At 38.6% G+C, this 24,161-nt stretch overlaps 1 protein-coding gene and 1 pseudogene across 8 annotated transcripts in view; one reads left to right on the top strand and one right to left on the bottom strand.

Annotated features, from left to right (window-relative positions):
• The window catches only part of NNT (nicotinamide nucleotide transhydrogenase), a 104,722-nt gene that overhangs the window by 37,005 nt on the left and 43,556 nt on the right, over positions 1-24,161 (bottom strand). For 7 of the 8 annotated variants that reach the window (NM_012343.4, XM_005248274.6, XM_017009293.3 and 4 more), the window contains 7 exons: positions 21,084-21,245; positions 19,805-19,915; positions 18,508-18,653; positions 17,179-17,374; positions 14,319-14,552; positions 13,579-13,739; positions 11,042-11,221 (listed from right to left, as the gene is read on the bottom strand). In NM_012343.4, coding sequence (NP_036475.3) covers positions 11,042-11,221; positions 13,579-13,739; positions 14,319-14,552; positions 17,179-17,374; positions 18,508-18,653; positions 19,805-19,915; positions 21,084-21,245 — 1,190 coding nt within the window. Of the gene's footprint in view, positions 1-11,041; positions 11,222-13,578; positions 13,740-14,318; positions 14,553-17,178; positions 17,375-18,507; positions 18,654-19,804; positions 19,916-21,083; positions 21,246-22,209; positions 22,408-24,161 lie in introns of those variants that run through there. The other variant, XM_005248275.6, reaches the window with a different exon arrangement.
• RPL29P12 (ribosomal protein L29 pseudogene 12) lies at positions 3,120-3,748 on the top strand (annotated as a pseudogene).

Here is a 24,161-nt window from a genome sequence, read left to right as displayed (position 1 = left end):
ATCTAAAATTGACACCCTAACATCACAATTAAAAGAACTAGAGAAGCAAGAGCAAACACATTCAAAAGCCTACAGGAGTCTAGAAATAACTAAGATCAGAGCAGAACTGGAGGAGATAGTCAAACAAAAAACCATTCAAAAAATCAATGAATCCAGGAGCTGGTTTTTTGAAAACATCAACAAAATTGATAGACCACTAGCAAGACTAATAAATAAGAAAAGAGACAAGAATCAAATAGACGCAATAAAAAATGATAAGGAGAATATCACCACCAATCCCACAGAAATACAAACTACCATCAGAGAATACTATAAACACCTCTATGCAAATAAGCCAGAAAATCTAGAAGAAATGGATAAATTCCTGGACACATACACCCTCCCAAGACTAAACCAGGAAGAAGCTGAATCCCTGAATAGACCAATAACAGGCTCTGAAATTGAGGCAATAATTAATAGCCTACCAACCAAAAAAAGTCCAGGACCAGATGGATTCACAGCTGAATTCTACCAGAGGTACAAGAAGGAGCTGGTACCATTCCTTCTGAAACTATTCCAATCAATAGAAAAAGAGGGAATCCTCCCTAACTCATTTTATGAGGCCAGCATCATCCTGATACCAAAGCCTGACAGAGACACAACAAAAAAAGAGAATTTTAGACCAATATCCTCGATGAACATCGATGCAAAAATCCTCAATAAAACACTCACAAACCAAATCCAGCAGTACATCAAAAAGCTTATCCACCATGATCAAGTGGGCTTCATCCCTGGGATGCAAGGCTGGTTCAACATACACAAATCAATAAACGTAATCTAGCATATAAACAGAACCAATGACAAAAACCACATGATTATCTCAATAGATGCAGAAAAGGCCTTTGACAAAATTCAACAACTCTTCATGCTAAAAACTCTCAATAAATTAGGTATTGATGGGACGTATCTCCAAATAATCAGAGCTATCTATGACAAACCCACAGCCAATATTATACTGAATGGGCAAAAACTGGAAGCATTCCCTTTGAAAACTGGCACAAGACAGGGATGCCCTCTCTCACCACTCCTATTCAACATAGTGTTGGAAGTTCTGGCCAGGGCAATCAGGCAGGAGAAAGAAATAAAGGGTATTCAATTAGGAAAAGAGGAAGTCAAATTGTCCCTGTTTGCAGATGACATGATTGTATATCTAGAAAACCCCATTGTCTCAGCCCAAAATCTCCTTAAGCTGATAAGCAACTTCAGCAAAGTCTCAGGATACAAAATCAATGTGCAAAAATCACAAGCAGTCTTATACACCAATAACAGACAAACAGAGAGCCAAATCATGACTGAACTCCCATTCACAATTGCTTCAAAGAGAATAAAATACCTAGGAATCCACCTTACAAGGGATGTGAAGGACCTCTTCAAGGAGAACTACAAACCAGTGCTCAACGAAATAAAAGAGGACACAAACAAATGGAAGAACATTCCATGCTCATGGATAGGAAGAATCAATATCGTGAAAATGGTCATTCTGCCCAAGGTAATTTATAGATTCAATGCCATCCCCATCAAGTTACCAATGACTTTCTTCACAGAATTGGAAAAAACTACTTTAAAGTTCATATGGAACCAAAAAAGAGCTCACATTGCCAGGTCAATCCTAAGCCAAAAGAACAAAGCTGGAGGCATCATGCTACCTGACTTCAAACTATCCTACAAGGCTACAGTAACCAAAACAGCATGGTACTGGTACCAAAACAGAGATATAGACCAATGGAACAGAACAGAGCCCTCAGAAATAATACCACACATCTACAACCATCTGATCTTTGACAAATCTGACAAAAACAAGAAATGGGGAAAGGATTCCCTATTTAATAAATGGTGCTGGGAAAACTGGCTAGACATATGAAGAAAGCTGAAATTGGATCCCTTCCTTACACCTTATACAAAAATTAACTCAAGATGGATTAAAGACTTAAATGTTAGACCTAAAATCATAAAAACCCCAGAAGAAAACCTAGGCAATACCATTCAGGACATAGGCATGGCAAGGACTTCATGTATAAAACTCCAAAAGCAATGGCAACAAAAGCCAAAATTGACAAATGGGATCTAATTAAACTAAAGAGCTACTGCACAGCAAAAAAAAAAAAAAACCACCATCAGAGTGAATAGGCAACCTACAGAATGGGAGAAAATTTTTGCAATCTACTCATCTGACAAAGGGCTAATATCCAGAATCTACAAAGAACTAAACCAAACAAATTTACAAGAAAAAAACAAACAATCCCATCAACAAGTGGGCAAAGGATATGAACAGACACTTCTCAAAAGAAGACATTTATGCAGCCAAAAGACACATGAAAAAATGTTCATCATCACTGGCCATCAGAGAAATGTAAATCGAAACCACAATGAGATACCATCTCACACCAGTTAGAATGGCGATCAGTAAAAAGTCAGGAAACAACAGGTGCTGGTGAGGATGTGGAGAAATAGGAACACTTTTGCACTGTTGGTGGGACTGTAAACTAGTTCAACCATTGAGGAAGACAGTGTGGCGATTCCTCAAGGATCTAGAACTAGAAATACCATTTGACCCAGCCATCCCATTACTGGGGTATATACCCACGGGATTATAAATCATGCTGCTATAAAGACACATGCACACGTATGTTTATTGCGGCACTATTCACAATAGCAAAGACTTGGAACCAACCCAAATGTCCACCAATGATAGACTGGATTAAGAAAATGTGGCACATATACACCATGGAATACTATGCAGCCATAAAAAAGGATGAGTTCATGTCCTTTGTAGGGACATGGATAAAGCTGGAAACCATCATTCTCAGCAAACTATCGCAAGAACAAAAAACCAAACACTGCATGTTCTCACTCATAGGTGGGAATTGAACAATGAGAACACATGGACACAGGAAGGGAAACATCACACACCAGGGCCTGTCGTGGGGTGGGGGGAGTGGGGAGGGATAGCATTAGGAGATATACCTAATGTAAATAGTTAATGGGTGCAGCACACCAACATGGCGCATGTATACATATGTAACAAACCTGCACGTTGTGCACATGTACCCTAGAACTTAAAGTATAATAATAAAAAATAGGGTTCTAGGCACTTCGGGACCGGCAGCTTAAGGTGCAGACATGGCCAAGTCCAAGAACCACACTACACACAACCAGTCCCGAAAATGGCACAGAAATGGTATCAAGAAACCCCGATCACAAAGATACGAATCTCTTAAGGGGGTGGACCCCAAGTTCCTGAGGAACATGCACTTTGCCAAGAAGCACAACAAGAAGGGCCTAAAGAAGATGCAGGCCAACAATGCCAAGGCCATGAGTGCACGTGCCCAGGCTATCAAGGCCCTCGTAAAGCCCAAGGAGGTTAAGCCCAAGATCCCAAAGGGTGTCAGCCGCAAGCTCGATCCACTTGCCTACATTGCCCACCCCAAGCTTGGGAAGCGTGTTTGTGCCTGTATTGCCAAGGGGCCCAGGCTGTGCTGGCCAAAGGCCAAGGCCAAGGATCAAACCAAGGCCCAGGCTGCAGCTCCAGCTTCAGTTCCAGCTCAGGCTCCCAAAGGTACCGAGGCCCCTACAAAGCCTTCAGAGTAGATATCTCTGCCAACGTGAGGACAGAAGGACTGGTGCGACCCCCCACCCCCGTCCCTGGGCTACCATCTGCATGGGGCTGGGGTCCTCCTGTGCTATTTGTACAAATAAACCTGAGGCAGGAAAAAAAAAAATAGATCTCCCTCTCCCTCTCCTTCTCTCCCTCCCCCTCCCCCTCCCTCTCTGCTCGGTCTCCCCCTGATGCCGAGCTGAGGCTGGACTGTACTGTCGCCATCTCGGCTCACTGCAACCTCCCTGCCTGATTCTCCTGCCTCAGGCTGCTGAGTGCCTGGGATTGCAGGCGCGCGCTGCCACGCCTGACTGGTTTTCGTATTTTTTGGTGGAGACGGGGTTTCGCCGTGTTGGCCGGGCTGGTCTCCAGCTCCTGACCGCAAGTGATCTGACAGCCTCGGCCTCCCAAGGTGCCGGGGTTGCAGACGGAGTCTCGCTCACTCAGTGCTCAATGTTGCCCAGGCTGGAGTGCAGTGGCATGCTCTCGGCTGGCTACAACCTCCCCCTCCCAGCCGCCTGCCTTGGCCTCCCAAAGTGCCGAGATTGCAGCCTCTGCCCTGCCACCACCCCGTCTAGGAAGTGAGGAGTGTCTCTGCCTGGCCGCCCATCGTCTGGGATGTGAGGAGCCCCTCTGCCCGGCCGCCCAGTCCGGGAAGTGAGGAGCGCCTCTTCCCGGCCGTCATCCGGTCTAGGAAGTGAGGAGCGTCTCTGCCCGGCCGCCCATCGTCTGGGATGTGGGGAGCGCCTCTGCCCCGCTGCCCCGTCTGAGATGTGAAGAGCGCCTCTGCCGGGGCGCGACCCCGTCTGGGAACTGAGGAGCGTCTTTGCCCCGCCGCCACCCCGTCCGGGAAGTGAGGAGCATCTCCGCCCGGCAGCCGCCCCGTCCAGGAGATGGGGGGCAGCCCCTGCCCGGCCAGCCACCCCGTCCAGGAGGTGGGGTGCGCCTCTGCCTGGCTGCCCCGTCTGGGAAGTGAGCCCCTCTGCCCGGCCACCACCCCGTCTGGGAGGTGTACCCAACAGCTCCTTGAGAACGGGCCATGATGACGATGGCGGTTTTGTCGAATAGAAAAGGGGGAAATGTGGGGAAAAGAGAGATCAGATTGTTACTGTGTCTATATAGGAAGAAGTAGACATAGGAGACTCCATTTTGTTCTGTACTAAGAAAAATTCTTCTGCCTTGGGATGCTGTAAATCTATGACCTTGCCCCCAACCCGGTGCTTTCTGAAACATGTGCTGTGTCCACTAAGGGTTAAATGGATTAAGGGCGGTGCAAGATGTGCTTTGTTAAACAGATGCTTGAAGGCAGCATGCTCGTTAAGAGTCATCACCACTCCCTAATCTCAAGTACCCAGGGACACAAACACTGTGGAAGGCGGCAGGGCCCTCTGCCTAGGAAAACCAGAGACCTTTGTTCACATGTTTATCTGCTGACCTTCCCTCCACTATTGTCCTATGACCCTGCCAAATCCCCCTCTCCGAGAAACACCCAAGAATGATCAATAAATACTAAAAAATAATAATAATAATAATAATAAATAAATAAATAAAATACCAGAAAAAAAAATCCAGTGAACAAAGAGGTTTCATCACCCTTATTACACAGTCCTGCAGAAGATCACAGCAGTAGATGTACCGCTGTACAGATGTAGAGGGACAGAGGAGAGGGATAAATAAACCATTTTATTCTAACTCGGCTTAAAAGGAACCATTATTTCCTCCTATAAAACTGAATGAAGAAGAAGGAAAGAATCTCTGAGGACATTTAATTAATGGGTACCCACTTCTGATGGCATCTTAGGGAGAAAAAAAAGGAACCACACAGTAGTTTAACCATCATAGTCAACTTGTTAAACATGTATCCACAATTACATCACCATTAAGCTATAACAATTCCATGTGGTCTCTTAAAAACGAAATTATTTTTATCTCTAAATTTACCATTGCAACATCACATTCTCAACAAATGTTTAGCATTTATGGTTTTGTTTTGGTTCTTTCTCTTTTTTTCTTTTTTCTTTTTTTGCCGGCTTAAATGATTAATGAGACTATCCTATGACCACTGTTCCAGAGATTGAACAGTTCCCAGCTTCCAAGACAAAGAATTTGCAAGACTGTTTAAGACTGTTCATTTTAAGCTATTAAGCCAATAATTAAAATTGCATTCTACATTAAAGAGAATCCTAATTCACATAATTCTGAATACACTGTAAGAAATAAATCTGAAAGCCAAAGAAAGGTCATAAAACTGACAAAGCCAAAGCAATAATAACATATATACCATTTACTAGCATCTCTCATTTCAATGCTTTGTAGATACTAATTAATTAATCACAAAGGAAAAAATATTTTTGATTTGGCTTTTGATCCACTTCATTCTGTTCTATTTTTATTTGGAACCAAGCAGCAAAGTGCAAAAATCAGAAAATTCGATCTGAAAATGCTGTTCAATTTTTGTAAGACCTCTATTTCTGAGGCAATCTGGATACTATCACAAACAAAGAAACTGTAAAATCATAAAGAGGTTAATGTCTATATGATATTTGGATATCATTCATTTGAATTGGTTGTTTGGACACTGACAACATTTTTCAGTTTTTATAATCTTGGGTATTGTGTAACCATAGCACTGAGCTCAGAGGACACCCAACAGAACAAAAATTCAATTTTAGGGATTGCTGGTTAGCCACTTGGGGTGCATTCCATTCCCTCACACATAATAAAATCACCCTGTTCTAGTTTGGACTTGTGTGTTTCCTTCAATAAATAAGAGTGAAGGTCAACATACTGGTACCATATTAACTCTGCTATATCTGCTATCATAGTCTATCTGGAGAAGATTCTAAAACATGAAATAAGTTAACAAATAAAATATTTCTCTAATGTTCATTTAACAAACCAATTTGTGTGAATGTGCCAGGTACTTGGCCAAACTCCACAAACACAAAGGTGAATAATAAATGGTGCCTTACAATACTTTCTCAGTAAAATGAGAATAATATTTCCTACCTCCAGAATTTGTGCGGGGATTAAATGAGCTATATTTTGTAAAGCACCCAGCATAATGCCTGCTACGTTGCACTAATGGCCAATTTTAAGTAGCTATTTCATTTTTATGATTATACCGATCTACCTAGAGCCGCTAAGCACAGCCATGAAGAAACTGAATAAATCTCCTATAATTTCCTATAATAAAGAAGCATAAAGAAGGTTTATCAACGAAGGTTAATGTAAAAAGTGAGAAATCAGAAAATTGTAGAAGAAAAGATAATTTCCATCTTCAAAATCGAAAAATATGACAGGCTTGTATTTGTTGGTTTCTGACTTGTTTTGTAACAATGCCTAGGAGTAGAGATCATACAGTAAGACAAACACATTGCACATCACAAGTAAGAGCTTTGACTGGTGAATCCTTTGTGAAGATCAATTTAGTAATATCAAAAGCCAACAAAAAGTTCTTACTCCCTTTGACCATGTAATTGCACTTATAAAAACTGGACCTAAGGAAATAATCAAGGATGTAGAAGAAGGAAAACTGCAACCAAGAAAAAAAGAAAGTTAAAAACAACTAATATGAATTTGAATAAATAGACTATGGTAATATCTGTTTGCTATAATACTAGGAGCTAAAAATTATTAGAAAATTAAACATTAATTAAACCTTAATTAAAATTAAGGTTAGACAATTACATAATATATTAAATAGAATGTATTTAAACATTCATATAAAAAAGACTAGAATGTTAATAGTTAAGTGGTAATGGAAGTTTAGGTGATTTTATTTTTTTATTTATCCTTTTCTGATTCTTCCAAATTTCCTACATTAAACATCTTTAACTAATTGGAATTTTTTTTTTTTTTTTTGAGACAGGGTCTCACTCTGTCTCCTAGGCTGCAGTCCAGTGGTACAATCACAGCTCATTGCAGCCTCAACCTCCCCAGGTTCAGGTCATCCTCCTGCCTCAGCCCCCCAAGTAGCTGGGACTATAGGCATGTGCCACCATGCCCAGCTAACTTTTATATTTTTTGTAGAGACAGGGTTTTATCATGTTGCCCAGGTTGGTCTTGAACTCCTGGACTCAATTGATCCACCTGCCTTAGCCTCCCAAAGTGCTAGAATTACAGGCATGAGCCACGGCGCCTGGCCAGAATTTTTTTTTTAATTAAAACTTAAACTGTTCTTGAATCCGAATTATTAATCTGACCCAATATGATATTTATGGTCTCAGGCAGCTATCGGAATAATTTGGTAGTTCTATATACAGAATAGGAGTACAAAATATCTATGGAATGCTGATGGTAAGTGGCATGCCTGTGGCAGTGAAATGGAAAGAAAAGAAATAGAAGACCTAGAGAAAACATATCAAAAAAATAAAAGAGTAAGAAAAATAAGAGAAAGATGATATAATTGCAGAACACGTAGAAGAGAGTACTTTCAACAAGTACCTCTTACTACCTTATTCTAGTGTTACAGAAGAGTTACTGTAAGACTTACTATGGTTGCTATAACTAATAATAATAAAAGACACTAAGTGAAGAAGGAAAAAGAGAGTAATAAGAGAGACACAGACAGAAATGTGGGGAATACTCTTTATAAATTTAAAAACCTAAAGAAAACCATTTTTAAAAAAGGATAAAATGAGAAATTACCCATGCTGACATTTCAAGAACTAGAAACAAGTCTTCTTCCCTCCTCTCCCCATATCAGCATGCCATAGGCTTTGTTAACATTCAAATCCTTCAAATCCTCCCATTTAACTTTAAAAGCCACTTTCTGATTCCTCAGGGATCTAGAACTAGAAATACCATTTGACCCAGCCATCCCATTACTGGGGTATATACCCACAGGATTATAAATCATGCTGCTATAAAGACACATGCACACATATGTTTATTGCGGCACTATTCACAATAGCAAAGACTTGGAACCAACCCAAATGTCCACCAATGATAGACTGGATTAAGAAAATGTGGCACATATACACCATGGAATACTATGCAGCCATAAAAAATGATGAGTTCATGTCCTTCGTAGGGACATGGATGAAATTGGAAATCATCATTCTCAGTAAACTATCACAAGAACAAAAAACCAAACACCGAATGTTCTCACTCATAGGTGGGAATTGAACAATGAGATCACATGGACACAGGAAGGGGAATATCACACTCTGGGGACTGTGGTGGGGTGGGGGGAGGGGGGAGGGATAGCATTGGGAGATATACCTAATGCTAGATGACGAGTTAGTGGGTGCAGCGCACCAGCATAGCACATGTATACATATGTAACTAACCTGCACAATGTGCACATGTACCCTAAAACTTAAAGTATAATAAAAATAAATAAATAAATAAATAAATAAATAAAAGCCACTTTCTGACAAACCGCAAGTTTAAGTAATAATGAAAATCTGCTGCCCCCTGCTGGTCATTCAAATTCATCAACTGAAGCAAAATCAAACTAAGGGTTAAAAGTTTACTTTTACAGAAAACTGTATTTCTAGTACAATTTCATAAACATTTCTTCTTCACAAATGTTTCTTCTTTCTGTCACAAAGCCTGACACTTTTCAAATAGGATACATAAACCTTCACCTTTCCAAATTCCCCAGGTAATTTAGGCTATTTAATTTTAAAACCCCTTAGCTTGTTTTGAATTTGGGCTATCAAATCCTTTGTTTTGCAATATAGCCTAAGAAACAAAAATATTTTTTACTATGAAAAGATACTTCAGCCTTCCAAATTACAATGAGATTTTCAGTTAAATCATAAGAAAAATCCTGAGTTGTAAAATAAGCGAGTTTTTTAAAATATTATAATAAAAGAATGAAGGTAGAGTAAGTATCTGATATGGTTTGGCTCTGAGTCCCTACCCAAATCTCATGTCGAATTGTAATCCCCACATGCCACGGGGGGACCTGGTGGAAGGTGATGGATTATGGGGGCTGACTTCCGCCTTGCTGTTCTTATGCTAGTGAGTTCTCACGAGATCTGGTGCTTTAAAAGTGTGTGGCACATCCCCCTTCACTCTCTCCCCTTCTCCGCTATGGTAAGATGTGCTTGCTTCCCATTCACCTTCTGCCATGATTGTAAGCTTCCTGTGGCCTCACAGTCATGCTTCCTGTTAAGCCTGTGGAGCTGTGAGTCAATTAAACCTCTTTACTTCATAAATTACCCAGTCTGAGGTAGTTCTTTACAGCAGTGTGAGAATGGACTAATACAGATCCCTTTCTTGTCTAAATTATTTATCAGTGTAAAATCACGTTCTGCTTTCATTTAGTTTCATTATTATTTAGAAAATAACATCCATAATTTGAAAAAAAAAGTTCTACTCAAACCTTTAATTATAATATTTGCAGAACATCTTCTTGCCATCAAGAAGAGAACTTGAAACAAACAGAAAAGCTAGGAAGTATTAGTGTTGTTACTTTTTTCTGTTCTTTTAAAAAACCATCATGCTGACCACAAAACTTCTAAGGTAGAAACTCTCACAGATGACCAACAGGAGTGTAAATTAGAACAACCTTTCCAGAAACATGGCTATAAGTATAATGAGCCTATAAATTCTAGGAATCTATCTTAAGACAAAAATCTGAAATGTCAAAGATATGTACAAAGAGAAATCAAAATCAAACAACTTCATATGTATAGCATTAAGGGCAAATTAAATAAATTTTGTATATCCATATGATGGATCACGATAAAGTCTCTTAAAATAATATTTTAAAAGAATTTTTAATGACAAAAAGTCAACAATATAGTATATAAGTTTTTTTAAATGTAGGACAATATACAACACGATCAGACAAGTAAATACACAGATATGCCATACATAAGGAAATAAACCAAAATCTTACCTGTTTATCTCCAGATGGAGAGAGGCACTAGAAGATTTTCATCTTTCTATTTAATTTTCCTAATTATTTACAGTTGGGTACCTTAAAGGCAGTCTTGGAAATTTATGCAAATGAAATACTCTGCTATGTCTGCTGAAGAGAATTCAAAGCTACCATACTCTTTTTTTTTTCTTTTGAGATGGAGTCTCGCTATGTCACCCAGGCTGGAGTACAGTGGCATGATCTCAGTCACTGCAACCTCTGCCTCCTGGGTTCAAGCAATTCTCTGCCTCAGCCTACCAAGTAGCTGGGATTACAGGCACCCACCACCACGCCTGGCTAATTTTTGTATTTTTAGTAGAGACAGGGTTTTACTATCTTGGGCAGGCTGGTCTTGAACTCCTGAGCTCGTGATCCACCTGCCTTGGCCTCCTAAAGTGCTGGGATTACAGGTGTGAGCTACCATGCCCAGCCTACAATATTCATTTTTATGGGTAATAAAAGAAATGACATGCACATCCATGTTTTCAGGAAGCCATTTCCTTTTGTTTCATGTATGTGTTGTTTCTTACCACACACATGATGTATGACAGGATAGCACCAGACGAGCCTATGAGTGCACCCACGATGGTCAGCAGATTGTTGTTGAGCAGGAAGCCCTCTGCACACAGGGCCCAGCCTGAGTAGCTGTTCAGCACAGTGATAACGACGGGCATGTCAGCACCCCCAATAGCAGCTGTCAAAGTCACACCCTAGAACAACAATCAAATCAGAACTCAAAATTAATAACATAAAAATAAAACCTCTGACATTTAACATTTTGCTCCTTAATTATTCTAGTTTTCCCATTAATATATTTACATATAAGTTCCACTTCCGGTAATAAGTGTCTCCCATCTGACCAACACTTCCACAGGTATAACAACTATAAACACTGAGCCACCCACCCCCCTAAAAAAAAATCCCTACATTTTAAAAAAACACTTTTCAGTGATGAAAAGCAGGCAGAAACTGGAGAAGCGTCTACATTTGGAAAAATACAATGACACTAAGTGAATTTCCCAGTTTTTATGGCTTTAGACTGAGGGCAATCCCCTGTTGGTACCAGTTAAGGAAATTATAAAATATAAGCCCACAGTCTTACTGACTTGAAGATCCTGAAGATAGCATTTGAGATGACTAAGGCAGCTGGAAAGTAATAAGGGGAATCCCACAAAGAAGCAGGCTAGAGGGAAGGAGTCCCAGTTTCTGTTTATAAATTCTACTCAAATCTCTGGATGACTCTTGAACTACACATATGTGAGACAGACTCCAAGCAATCCTGTTAAGGATAAAATAACAATAGATTTCAGCTGCCCCCCACCACCCACCATAAGGGAGTCAAAATTTGGAATTTGAGTTTAGCCAAGTTAGCTGGCTACAAAAACACATAAATAAATAATAATAATCAATACCCTTTGAAGGAATATAACATAACATCCAAAATGTCTATAATGTATCATTAACAATGTCCGTGATACAACTCGAAATTACTAAACACATGAAAGGAAAAAGCTTTTTGCTTTTTATTTCACATGTTTTTACCTTTTTTTGTTTGTTACAATGAGAGCATATTCATGTATTACTCATTTAAGCCAAAAGCAATAAAATAAATTCAAAAAATACTTTGTCTTAGTCAGACATTCTCATAGAACCAATAAATCCTTTAAATATCATAGTCACTGCTTCCCAAAAACAACAATTCTTAAAGTTTTAGATTTGTATATCTTTTTTTCTTTCTTTTTTTTTGAGACAGAGTCTTGCTTTGTCACCCAGGCTGGAGTGCAATAGCATGATCTCGGCTCACTGCAACCTCCGCCTCCCAGGTTCAAGCGATTCTCCTGCCTCAGTCTCCCGAGCAGCTGGGAATACAGGCGCAGACTACCACACCCGGCTTATTTTTGTATTTTTAGTAGAGACGGGGTTTCACCATGCTGGCCAGGCTAGTCACAAACTCCTGACCTCAGGTGATCCACCCACCTCGGCCTCCCAAAGTGCTGGGATTACAGTCATGAGCCACCTCACCCAATCACATTTGTATATCTTTTATTTTGAGACTTCATCAACCTATTCTGCTTTATTAGATTAAAAATATCAAAATTATTTTTCTTTTGTTTAAAACAAAAACCAGTGCAATAAGCCAGAATAAAATTAGACCATGAGTGTGAATATAAAGATGAGATTTTAATTTACTTTTCAGTGTTCTAAAATTTCTGTGTTAAAATCATGACCTAACTGCCATGATCACACAAAAATAAGTATCATTTTTACACTATAAATTAGGTGTTTCTCAATCAAGGAGCCAGTAAGTATTTCATAAGCAATTGCTATGTGTCTAACTTTGTGTTAGTTACTGTAGATAATTTTTTTAACTTAAATATAAACCTTGTCTACGGATTACACACTGAAAGAACATGAGTAACAGTGAATAACAGTAAATAGCGCTGCATAAAACAGCATCATACATTGATATAAGATGCCAGACTGTCACATAGACAACTAAAAACTACTGTGTGTTTCAATACACTAAATATAAAAATTGCAGAGAAAGAAGAAAGCCAAACCTATCATAAAAGCCTTCACTGAATACTCTCACTGAGCATACAGGGTTTTTTAACTGCATTTCATTTTATACTTATTTGATTTCGTGTCATATCTTCCAATGATGTAAGAGCAACTGGTGGGCAGAGACTATCTTACTTGTATTGTATAAACCCCGAAGCACTATTTTGTAGGGCTTGTCATATAGTAGGCACCTAATACATTGAAACCCTTGGCCTTTTTAAGCTCCTGTTCACCAACACATTGATCCGGTGAAAAGACTCCAGAGCAATAAAGGTGTCTCATGTGACAACTTTAAAATGAACAATTAAGTTGCAAGAAAGAATAATGTTCTTCCTACACTCTTCTATGTTTTCCAGATTCTAAAAAGATGCACATGTGACGTAATTTTAAAACATTTTTATTCCATCAAGGTTCTTGAAGAGATAAAAATATGATTACACTTTAATCTAACAAAATATTCCCAGTTCTTCACCAAATATGTACTTTTCAATCTCTGACTTCTTACCATGACAGCAGAGAGAGCAGACACTGAACCCAGACAGGTGATGCCAGTAGTAAAGCTTGGGTCCACCATGAATGGGATTATCCCGCCCACACTAGCAGCCAGTAAGCCTGCATTGAGTAAGTGCCTTCCAGGCAGTAGGAGAGGGGCAGATTTCAGGAGACCTAGAGCCAAGCACATAGTAGTTACAATTCAGAATGTGTTGTAAGAAAATACATAAAGTTCATTTCTGTGAATTCTACACAGTCATCTCTAACCAAGGATTATGAGGATGCTGTTTAGTTCACATATATTATCAAAAGTCAACTAGTCCCTCCATGCAAATTTCTGTTCACTAATTTCCTCCATTAGCTGTCTGCAAATGAAACAGCTTCAAAGCTTTATGAGACTTACTAAGTATCAATAAAGGGGAAGGATGAGGGGAAAAAAACTCTTACAATTTCTGAGTGCTATACGAATACTCTTCACCTAACAGTTTTACTGTTAAGGCATTTTTTTTAATCTTTTTTATTAGTAGTAATATTTTATTTTTTATAAAAAGTAGAGATAGGGTCTCGCTATGTTGCCCAGGCTGGTCTTGAACTCCTGGGCTTGAGAGCCTCCCACCTCAGCCTCCCAAAGTGCTGGATTGCAGGCATGAGCCATTGCGCCCAGCCCTGTTAATGTATTTTCTGAAATTAAAATGGATCCCTAAATGCCCTAAACAGTAGATATTTACCTCTATGTTATGCTGAATCACTTACCCTGCAATTTTCCATAGGCAATGAGAGACCCACTAAAGGTGACGCCACCAATGTAAGTGCCGAGGTAGGCCACAATCTTGGTGAGATTTGCTGCTGCATCCGTAGCAAAATGTGGATATTCTATAATGTACTCAGCTATGCAAGTAAGTACAGCTGCCAAACCCACTAAACTGTGAAAAGCAGCAACTAATTGAGGTAAATCAGAAATCTGGATGCGTTTGGCAATTGTCAATCCTGTTATGAAAGGTCAAAAATAAATTAAAACTTGACAAACTTTTGAGAAGTAACCACAACAAAGATCACCCTTAAGGATTTCCACCATTGTCACAAATAAATATTATCTAGTTCCTAGTACGGGCTAAATATTCTCTACAGGGGCTGTACAGAAGGTAAGGGCACTAGTTGTATACAGGTTGAGTATCCCTTATCTGATATGCTTGGGACCAGAAGTGTTTCAGATTTTAATTTTTTTTAATTTTGGAATATTTTCATATACATAATAAGATATCTTGGGAATGGGACCCAGGTCTAAACACAAAATTCATTTATGTTTCATATATATATAGCCTGAAAGTAATTTTAAACAACATTTTAAATTATTTTGTGCTTGAAACAAAGTTTGTGTTAAGTATTTATGTGTGGAATTCACCACTTGTGATGTCATGTCAGCACTCAAAAAGTTTTGGATTTTGGAGCATTTTGGATTTTCGGATTAAAGATGCTCAACTTGTATACCCTTTCAAAACAGCAGTTTTTCTCCACACACCTAAGCACGACCCAACTCCAATGAACACCCAGCATCAATGCGTGCCTCTTCCCGTCACAAACTCCCAACCTTCCCCTAGCCAACACTTCTTCAGACTACCTAAATCTCTAATCAAATTCCCTTATATTCTCCCCATTGCAACCCAGGCCCTCTTCTCTATAGCCAGTGCTTTCTCCTGAGCACATAAGAAACACCTGGAACATGAAGAAGACCTTGGTTTTCAGGTGGGTAGGTGGGAGCAAAGTCCCAAGGTAAAGAAATGCAAAAATCTGGGCAGTAAATACCCAAATTAGGAGCCTCTGAAGGAACTGCATGGCTATAGGTAGGTGATACAGAAGGAGTGGGGCTCAGAATATTTGCTAAGATCATGTCTAAAGGTTTTCCTGCCATGAACCTACAGAGCAAACATTTTCCTTCAAGTCCCTTTCCCCAGAGATTATCAAGAAAAGAGTCAAAGCTTTCCTGAGGAAGTATAAAAGGAGGCCTAAAGCCAGTGTTCCACTGGGAAACATTTAATAACCAGTTCCAGGGGAAAAAAATACATGCACATACAAATACATGAGCTTTAACTGATATAAAGGTGGCTAGCACACAATTTTCAAATAATAAGAAATAGTGCTCTTTACTGAAAATTCCATGTAGACAAATTGACTTTCAAAGAATGTTTTTATGGATCTTTGCTAAACTCTTACATCTGTAGCCAACCTAGTGTTTGCAACTGATGAACAAGCATACTTCCAACAGGAACATTGTTTGATATTTTTATTTGCTTTAATAAGTAAGACGAAAGTAAAACAACAGAATGTATGCGAGAACTTCACTCATTTATCAACCATATGAATGACTTTATTGCTGAATCTGATAATAGTTTTCAAATACTGGAAGATTATTTGCTCAATTATTTGTGCTATTCACAATGTCACAGCTACAGTCAAAACATCTCAAGTTTAAGCTGCATCATTAACATTTTCTCCATCACTTTCTCACGTCTGGACAATAAACAAAACAATAAATCAAGCCCAGATTTGTAGCGTTTGCTTATTTCCACACTGCAATACTGCTACCAAGTCAAATTTCAATCTACCAATGTGATGTCATTGAATGTAGAATTGGAAAGAGATGTACCACAGCCCACTGATACATAGTATTTCTTCTATACACATACAATAGACATAAGTAACCTCAAGAGCATAGACAATAAAACCTAGTAAATTAATTAGAAAGTTACGAGTTTTTAATATTATTAACTTTGTTTCTGATTCATTTAAGTTTATGTAATTTAGTATTTAATAATGGCTGTGTTTAACAATCAACTTTAAAAATTCCTGGAAAAAAAATTTTTTTTTTTTTTTTGAGACAGAGTCTCGCTTTGTCACCCAGGCTGGAGTGCAGCAGCATGATCACAGCTCACTGCAACCTCCACATCCCAGGTTCAAGCGATTATCATGCTTCAGCCACCCAAGAAGCTGGGATTACAGTTGTACGCCACCATGCCCAACTAATTTTTGTATATTTAATAGCGACGGGGTTTCACCATGTTGGCCAGGCCAGTTTCAAACTCCTGGCCTCAAGTGATCCACCCACATCAGCCTCCCAAAGTGCTGGGATTACAGTCTGAGCCACCATGCCCAGCCTAAAAATTCCTGAAAATTTAACAATCCAGCAAACAACTGAATAAAATTAAAACAGTAGTTTTTCTGCTGGCACATGTTTTTTTTTTTTTTTTTCATTTTTAACAGGTCTATGAAGCAGAATCTTTGGCTGTTATTTATACCCAGCAGAACAAAAGTTAGCTTATGTATAGTACATACATAAGGATTCCAATCCCCCATTCCATTATCAGCTAACGGGACACAGTCAGTAAAGGAAGATAAGAATTGAGTATAGGATATTTTGACTCAGTTGATGCATTTATTCAGTGTTCTAAAATGTATTTGAATGAGAATTACACCAACTGGAATGAATTTTCACCAAAATAATATTAACTGAAGCAACTTCCATGAACAAAATTTAATTATTTCATCAATATGGACCTTAGAAATATATATTGAGAAACTGGAGTTCACATGAAGGCAGAAGCCCACAAGTGCTTACCAATGGTACCACCCAAAGCCATCGCTCCAGACATCTGAGCTAGTAATTCTGGGCCCGGTTTTAGGACTCCGAGGGTGGCTGCCAGTCCTCCAGCAACCCCAATCATGCCCAGTGCATTGCCAAGACGTGCTGTTCCCTGGGTGGAGAGGCCAGCCAAGGCACCGACACAGCACAAACCCGAGCCTAGGTACATGATCTTTTCAAAGGAAAAGTGAGAGAGAGATTATTAAAACCTTTGGTCTATTAGCTTAGAGATTTCAATATATTTTCCTGCCAATTAGGAATATTAACATATTAAATACTTATATTGTATTTGCACTTATACCATTTATATAAATTGATTTTTTCTGGATTTGCTATCATGCACAAATACACATAAAAGTACCTAAATTTAAATGGAGTCATTACTGGATCTAAAAATACTAAACCTGACCAAATGCTGTAAAAGAGCCAACCCCTGAGGTAAGTGCCAGGGGCTTTGCCACATGTTTTATTTGTGTTGTCACAGTGTCATGAGATCCACAAGAGGGAAAAATCATTATCCTCATTTTGCAAAAGACAGAATCAAAGCTTAAAGAAGTTGCATATTTTCTCCAAGGCAAATGATCAATAAATTGGAAATCTGGAATTCAGACTAAGGTCTTTCTGACTCACTGCTCCAACTCTTCTCAAAAAAAAAAAAAAAATTGTTCATTCAATAAATACTGCAGGTTGGAAACATAGAAGAAACTAAAAGACAGCCATTGAAAAGAAATAGAAAATACAGAGTTCAGAACAAAGCTGAAGGTCTGTTATATTACAAGTTGGAACTTTCAAAGTCCAGCTGGATTATTTCTGTTTTTCTATACAACATTAAGTTTAAACTATCCTTTTCTTTATGGATTTTTTTATGAATATATAACATCTCTTAGTAGCAAGAGATGATGTGCTGGATTTGTAGAGGAAGAATAGGAAAAGAACTAATAGTACTTAATAATAATTTTTCAAATTTTGTATTGTTTCATTATAAATCCACCGCAATCTAGCTAGATACATAATGAAGATACTGATAACCTTAACTCCTCTTACATGTGGAAAAATGTATCAAAACAAAGACATAAACCCATATTTAAACTCAGTTACCAGAAAAATCTGTCTCTAGAATCCAGGGTCCTGATCCTTAGGGGAAGAGAATGCTCAGTTTGACCAAGATGTTTCTAGGGTTATTGTTGTATTTGCTTGACAGAGTTGTATTTGCTCGATACTTTGAATTAGGATAACTAACAATGTTAAATCTAATAGAGAAGAAAATATTGTGGTAAATATAAAAACTTACAAAGAGCATCTTACCTGTTCAATGTTATAACCACTGTAGAGGGCAGCTAAATATCCACCAACAAAGGTGCCGGCAGGGAGCAGGTACAGGTAGTTGTATTCTGGGGGGTCAGTGGGACGCTTGAACATGTCCAGCATTCTCTGAGTCACCAGAAAGCCACCTTAGCAAACCAAAGGAAATAAAAAACATAGTACCTCTTTGAGCTCACTGAGCAACATGATTTTTTAAAGTGCTACAATTTTTCTGTTTTAAGCACATCTTTATCACCTAGGAACAAATATAATTTAAAGTAACATTTTGCAACCTCAAATTTTTTTTTTTGAGATGGAGTCTCACTCTGTTGACCAGGCTAGGGTGCAGTGACACGATCTTGGCTCACTGCAATCTCCGCCTCCCAGGTTCAAGCTATTCTCCTGCCTCAGCCCCCCGAGTGGCTGGGATTATAGGCTCGCGCCACTATGCTGGGCTAATTTTTGTATTTTTAGTAGAGAGGGGGGTTTCATCGTGTTGGCCAGGCTGGTCTCGAACTCCTGACCTCAGGTGATCTACCCGCCTTGACCTCCCAAAGTGCTGGGATCACAGGTGTGAGCCACCGTGCCCAGCCAAAATTTAAAGTCATTCTATTACTCAAGCCAGTTCCATTAGAGAGGTGGGGGAAAAAACACTAAATATATTCAGGAAGAAAACTTGCTATCAGAATGCAAAACTATTTCTGCATGACTAAAAGGAAAAAAAAGCCATTCAAAAAGCTTGAGAATGTGAAAGATCAAAGATTGGTATCTTTTCCTAGTAGGTTGTTACATTTGTAAAACCCTATAATAAATTATAAAAGAAAAAAATACCATATCAACAGGCACCAGGTTTCTTGGACACATTAAAGAATTGTTAGCTACAAAATAGCATCAAATGAGTCTCACACATGAGTGATGTGCTAGGCTTTCAGTTTCCAGTAACAAACCCTGGCTGGGATAAGGCAAAAGACTAAAATTTTATCTAAAATTATACTAATTTATAGATGTTACGGTGATAGCTCTAACCCAACTTCAAAACTATGCATTCAATAACTTTCCAGTTAACTTGTAGCAAGACATCATTTTGTTTGTTTGTTTTGGGGATCTGGGGGTTGTTCTTTTATCAAGAGTTTCTAAAAATTACAGATGGGCAAAATAACTAATTTTCCTGCAAAAAGAGCATTTACGGTCAGAGTGAAACATTTTTTGAAGGCACAATTATGTCTATTTTATATGGATTTATATTTGCTTTGTATGTCTCCATTGAAAATAGTACTGAGACCTTTCACTGACATCATACCTGCAATGTTGACAGAGGATATGAATGCAGCAAGAGCAGCAAGGCCCTGAGAAGTTGTGGAAGGATACAAATGTCCTCCCATCAGTGCCAACCCACCAACTGCAGTCAGCCCTAGAAAGAAAGCATTAACATGGTTAATAGTGATAGTGACACCACCAAATCAAATATCATAGCTGAAGTACCTCACATACATAGATTCATAGAGGGTAAAGTTCTCAATATTAAAAAACAAGGCAGCTTTCTTACACCCTCATTAAAATGAAATAAACAATTTTGCTTATGCAGACTGTTGACAACACATCTTCACATCATTCTCACTGAAATTACTACTGTGGGAAAAGGGTTAACAAAACTTTTTCTCCTTCTGCATTGGAATTGGACTTTCTTTTAACTTTCTAGCGATGTTCCTCTAATACAGATATAAATCCACCAGTGTTATAGACAACATTGCTTATGGTTAAAAAGTGACCCTGGTAGATAATTTGCATGTAAACTGGAAGAAAGTATTCATGAACTGTAAATGCCTGCTGGGGATGCCTAGCTTTGGGTTTTCCTGACTACAGCACCTCTTGGAGCTAGACATGTTCCCTGCAGAGATCCTCGAAGCTGTGCCTATGGCAATGTTATAAAAGATGACTATTGGCCCTGAGGCTTTCAAGCCAGGACAGCTCCTATGCTTGTCCAATGTAGGACTCATTCTCTCATATCTGACCCATTGCTAGGGGACAAAGAGAATAGATCCTGGGCAACCACATGGACTGCTGCATGAACTGCTGAAAAGACCGGCACCAAAGAGAAATGCCTGATGCCACCTCACTGGAAAGCTGTGTTTTCCTGTCCCATAGCTTCATGGTGAACCTGATGCCACATGGGGCCTATTGTAGCCTTGCTAGGCTGAATGCTGAGTTGAATCCAAGGAGAGCCCTATAGGATGTTGCAGCTATGATTCTGTGGAACACTGGTTTTCAAATTTTATCAGTGGAATCCTTTTCTTTAAAAAAAAAAAAAAAGGATCAAACTTGGAAGAAATAACAGTGGCTCTGCACTGCTTGAAATGGGAGCAGCCCAAAGAGCTGACACACTCCCACGGCCTCTTACTCTGCAGGCCCATATCCCATACCCTCTCAGAGTCTGGGAGCCCTTAGATCACCAAAGCAGATGACTCAGATGCCAAGCAAAACAACTTGAAAACACACTTTATAAACGGCATTGATAGTCCTCCTAGAGCTGAGTAACCCTATGAAAACCTGAGATGAGGAAAAACAAGAGAGGAACAAACCTGAGATTGCATTTGTCACAGACATCAGTGGTGAGTGGAGAGCAGGGGTCACTCCCCAGACGGTATGATACCCCACAATGCCAGCCAAGCCAAAAGTGGTCACCATCTGAGAAAAGGCTAGATTGGGAGCCGCAATGCCCAAACCCAGTATCCCTGTGAGACCTAGAGAAAGAGAGTAAAGAGTGTGTTTGAGCTGACATCCAGTTATCTCAGTAAGATTAAAAGCACATACATAAATATGTGGAATAGCCAATGCTTTTAAATTCCACTCCCTTGCCAGTAATGAGCAGATTTTTTAGACATTTGACAGTTGAGAAGTGGGGGGATGGAGGAATACTGTGGACAAAACCCAACTTTCTGACCACCCCCCCAAAATAAGCTATAAAGATCTAGTAATATTTATGAGTCACACTAATAACAATTTGCACATTTTCCTCTGTGTAGTTTGTCCTCTTCCCTGTTTTAACTTTTATTAACAATGCCACATGTGTTTATATAAGCATTTTTATTCCCGATTACAGGCCTACAGAGGATCTACCAAAGCATTTTCTACTTGGGCAAGACACAACCTTTATAAGACAAGACTTTTATGAAGGCAATTTTATGTCACTCTCAGATTTGGCTGAGGAATAGGGGTTTTAAAAGAGTAGGAAGAATTTCATTCACTCCAGCACCTCCCCAAAACATATGGCTTCCACCCACCCGGGACACAAATTTTGCAATTGCTCCTGAATCTGGACTGGACTGTTGGCCAGGGCAGTCAGCTCCAGCCTCAACACCAAGTCAGCAAACAGGATTTTACAAACAAAAGGAAAAAAAATACAAATTAAATTAAGAATGTGCAGAATACAAACAGCTCTGAACATACATCTTTAATTATCGCCTTCCTTGATAGCAAACATGTGGACAGTTGTTCTGCAACAGAAGAAAGTGTTACCTAGTGGTCAGTAAAAAGAAAATGACAGTGGGTGACCAGGGAACTAGAAGTTAACTTTCCTGAATAAGGTACCTTTTTCCTTGATGTAAACTATTACTTTGGAAGTGGCACCACTGGAATATCTAGGGATTGACATTAATTTTACATTAAATCATTCAATATGACTGTAGTTTTAATTTATTTTCCTACCCACATATCATGTATCCAAAGTTCCAGTGCATAGCCCATTAACCATCTGGTGAGAGAGTTAGATACAACACTATTTTGTCTTCCAGTTAAAAATTAGAGAAGTTGCATAGGGTTGTGAATAAGAATATGTTTTCTTAAGTCAGTCTGGTTTGAATCCTGGTTCTGCTGCTCCCTAGCTGTGTCATCTCAGGCAAGTTACTTAACCTCTCTGTGCTTCAGTGTCTTCATAGGTAAAATTATCAACCCTCTCTGTCTTCATCTGGAAGAGAAAATAATAATATACCCACTGCTGAATTCTTGTAAAAAATAAATGAGCTAAGACATGTGAAGTATTTAGCACAATGCCTAGGAGTCACTAAATGCTAGCTATTATCATGACCACATTAGTCAAGAAGCACTACCTTATCACAATCCACAGTCTTTTGTGTTAGGCATCTATGATAAAAATTACATCATACACCTGAAGGTTTTCTTATCAACTATTCAATAAACTAATGTATTTTCTATAATATATTTAGTAACGTATGTCAGACTATATTTCTATATCTGTATAACAGAGGAAGAGAAAGGCTGACAAAAGAAGAGAAAGCAAATCACATTCTTTGAAGAATGCTGTTCAAATACATTCCTGATACATATAAAAGAAAAATACTTATTTTTAATATGAAAGAGGGAGTTCAAGATAAAGAAAAACACATATAAGTTCATCCTTTCATTCACTGGAATATGCCACTGTCATATATATTAAGAAGCAATATGCCCTGATTCAAGAAATATAAGAGAAACTGAGAAAAATAAATCATTATATGTGCCTTGCTACATTTCCTTATGAATCTGAAAGAGAAATGGAAATTTACAATCCTACTCATAATATGTTCCATGTACAACACAATAACCTCATTTCTTTTGTTTTTTTAACAAATAAGTGCAAGTAGGGACACTGCTTTATCTACTCACAGTGTTCACCACTAGAGGCTTTTTCAGTCATTTTGCTGAGACTTACTCTTTATTCAAGGAGAGTTACATGTTTAGCTTTAAAACATCTGGACTCACATGGGAATTTGGAGAATGATGACTCTACAAGAATTCTATGCGCCTGGTGCTGGTCCTTAATTCTTTATAGTTTGCTTTTGTTTTGTTTTTGTTTTGGCTCTGAATAGATCTAAACATTTTTAATTCATTCTTTGAGACAGAAACCAATTTAAAATCAAATATCCGTATTTCAGCCTCCAACAATGCATAGCCAGAATGAATATTAATCATCACTTTACAATAAATTATTTAGTGTTTTTGTAAAGATGAATTTTAAAAAAAGAATTTATGTTAAATTACAAAGAAAGAGATCTAAATGAAAATGTTGAATTTGTTTACAAGTTGAGTAACTTAAAATGTTAGTCAAATGTTCAGGGGCTATAGCCTATATTGTAGTATTTATTCTTTAAGGCAAACTTTGCTTCCCTTGTCCTACCCATGTGTGCAGATAATCACAACTGATATTTCACAAAAATAAAAATAAAAAACAGAAAAAAACGTAATTATATTTATACGCATTTAACACCAGCACAATATGGCATACATCACTTCTCAATACATTTGATGTAGATAAAAGTAATCTCAGCACTGTGGGAGGCCAAGGCAGGAGGATCACTTGAGCTCAGGAGTTCAAGACCAGCCTGGGCAACACGGTGAAGCCCCGTCTCTACAAAAAAAAAAAAAAATACAAAAATTAGCTGGGCGTGGTGGCATGCGCCTGTAGTCCCAGCTACTCAGGAGGCTGAAGTGAGAAGCTTCCTTCCTCAACCCCAGGAAGTTGAGGCTATGGTGAGCCGTAATCACACCACTGCACTCCTACCTGAGCAACAAAAAAAGATTCTGTCTCAAAAATACATATATGTATATTTTTAGTATATATATAAATGACTGCATTTAAAATGCTTTCTATAACAGGAAAA

This window comes from Homo sapiens, chromosome 5, assembly GCF_000001405.40.
Source record: "Homo sapiens chromosome 5, GRCh38.p14 Primary Assembly".
NCBI lineage: Eukaryota > Metazoa > Chordata > Mammalia > Primates > Hominidae > Homo > Homo sapiens.
The sequence above is the reverse complement of the archived record's forward strand: the minus strand, read 5'-3'. Positions and strand labels throughout refer to the sequence as shown.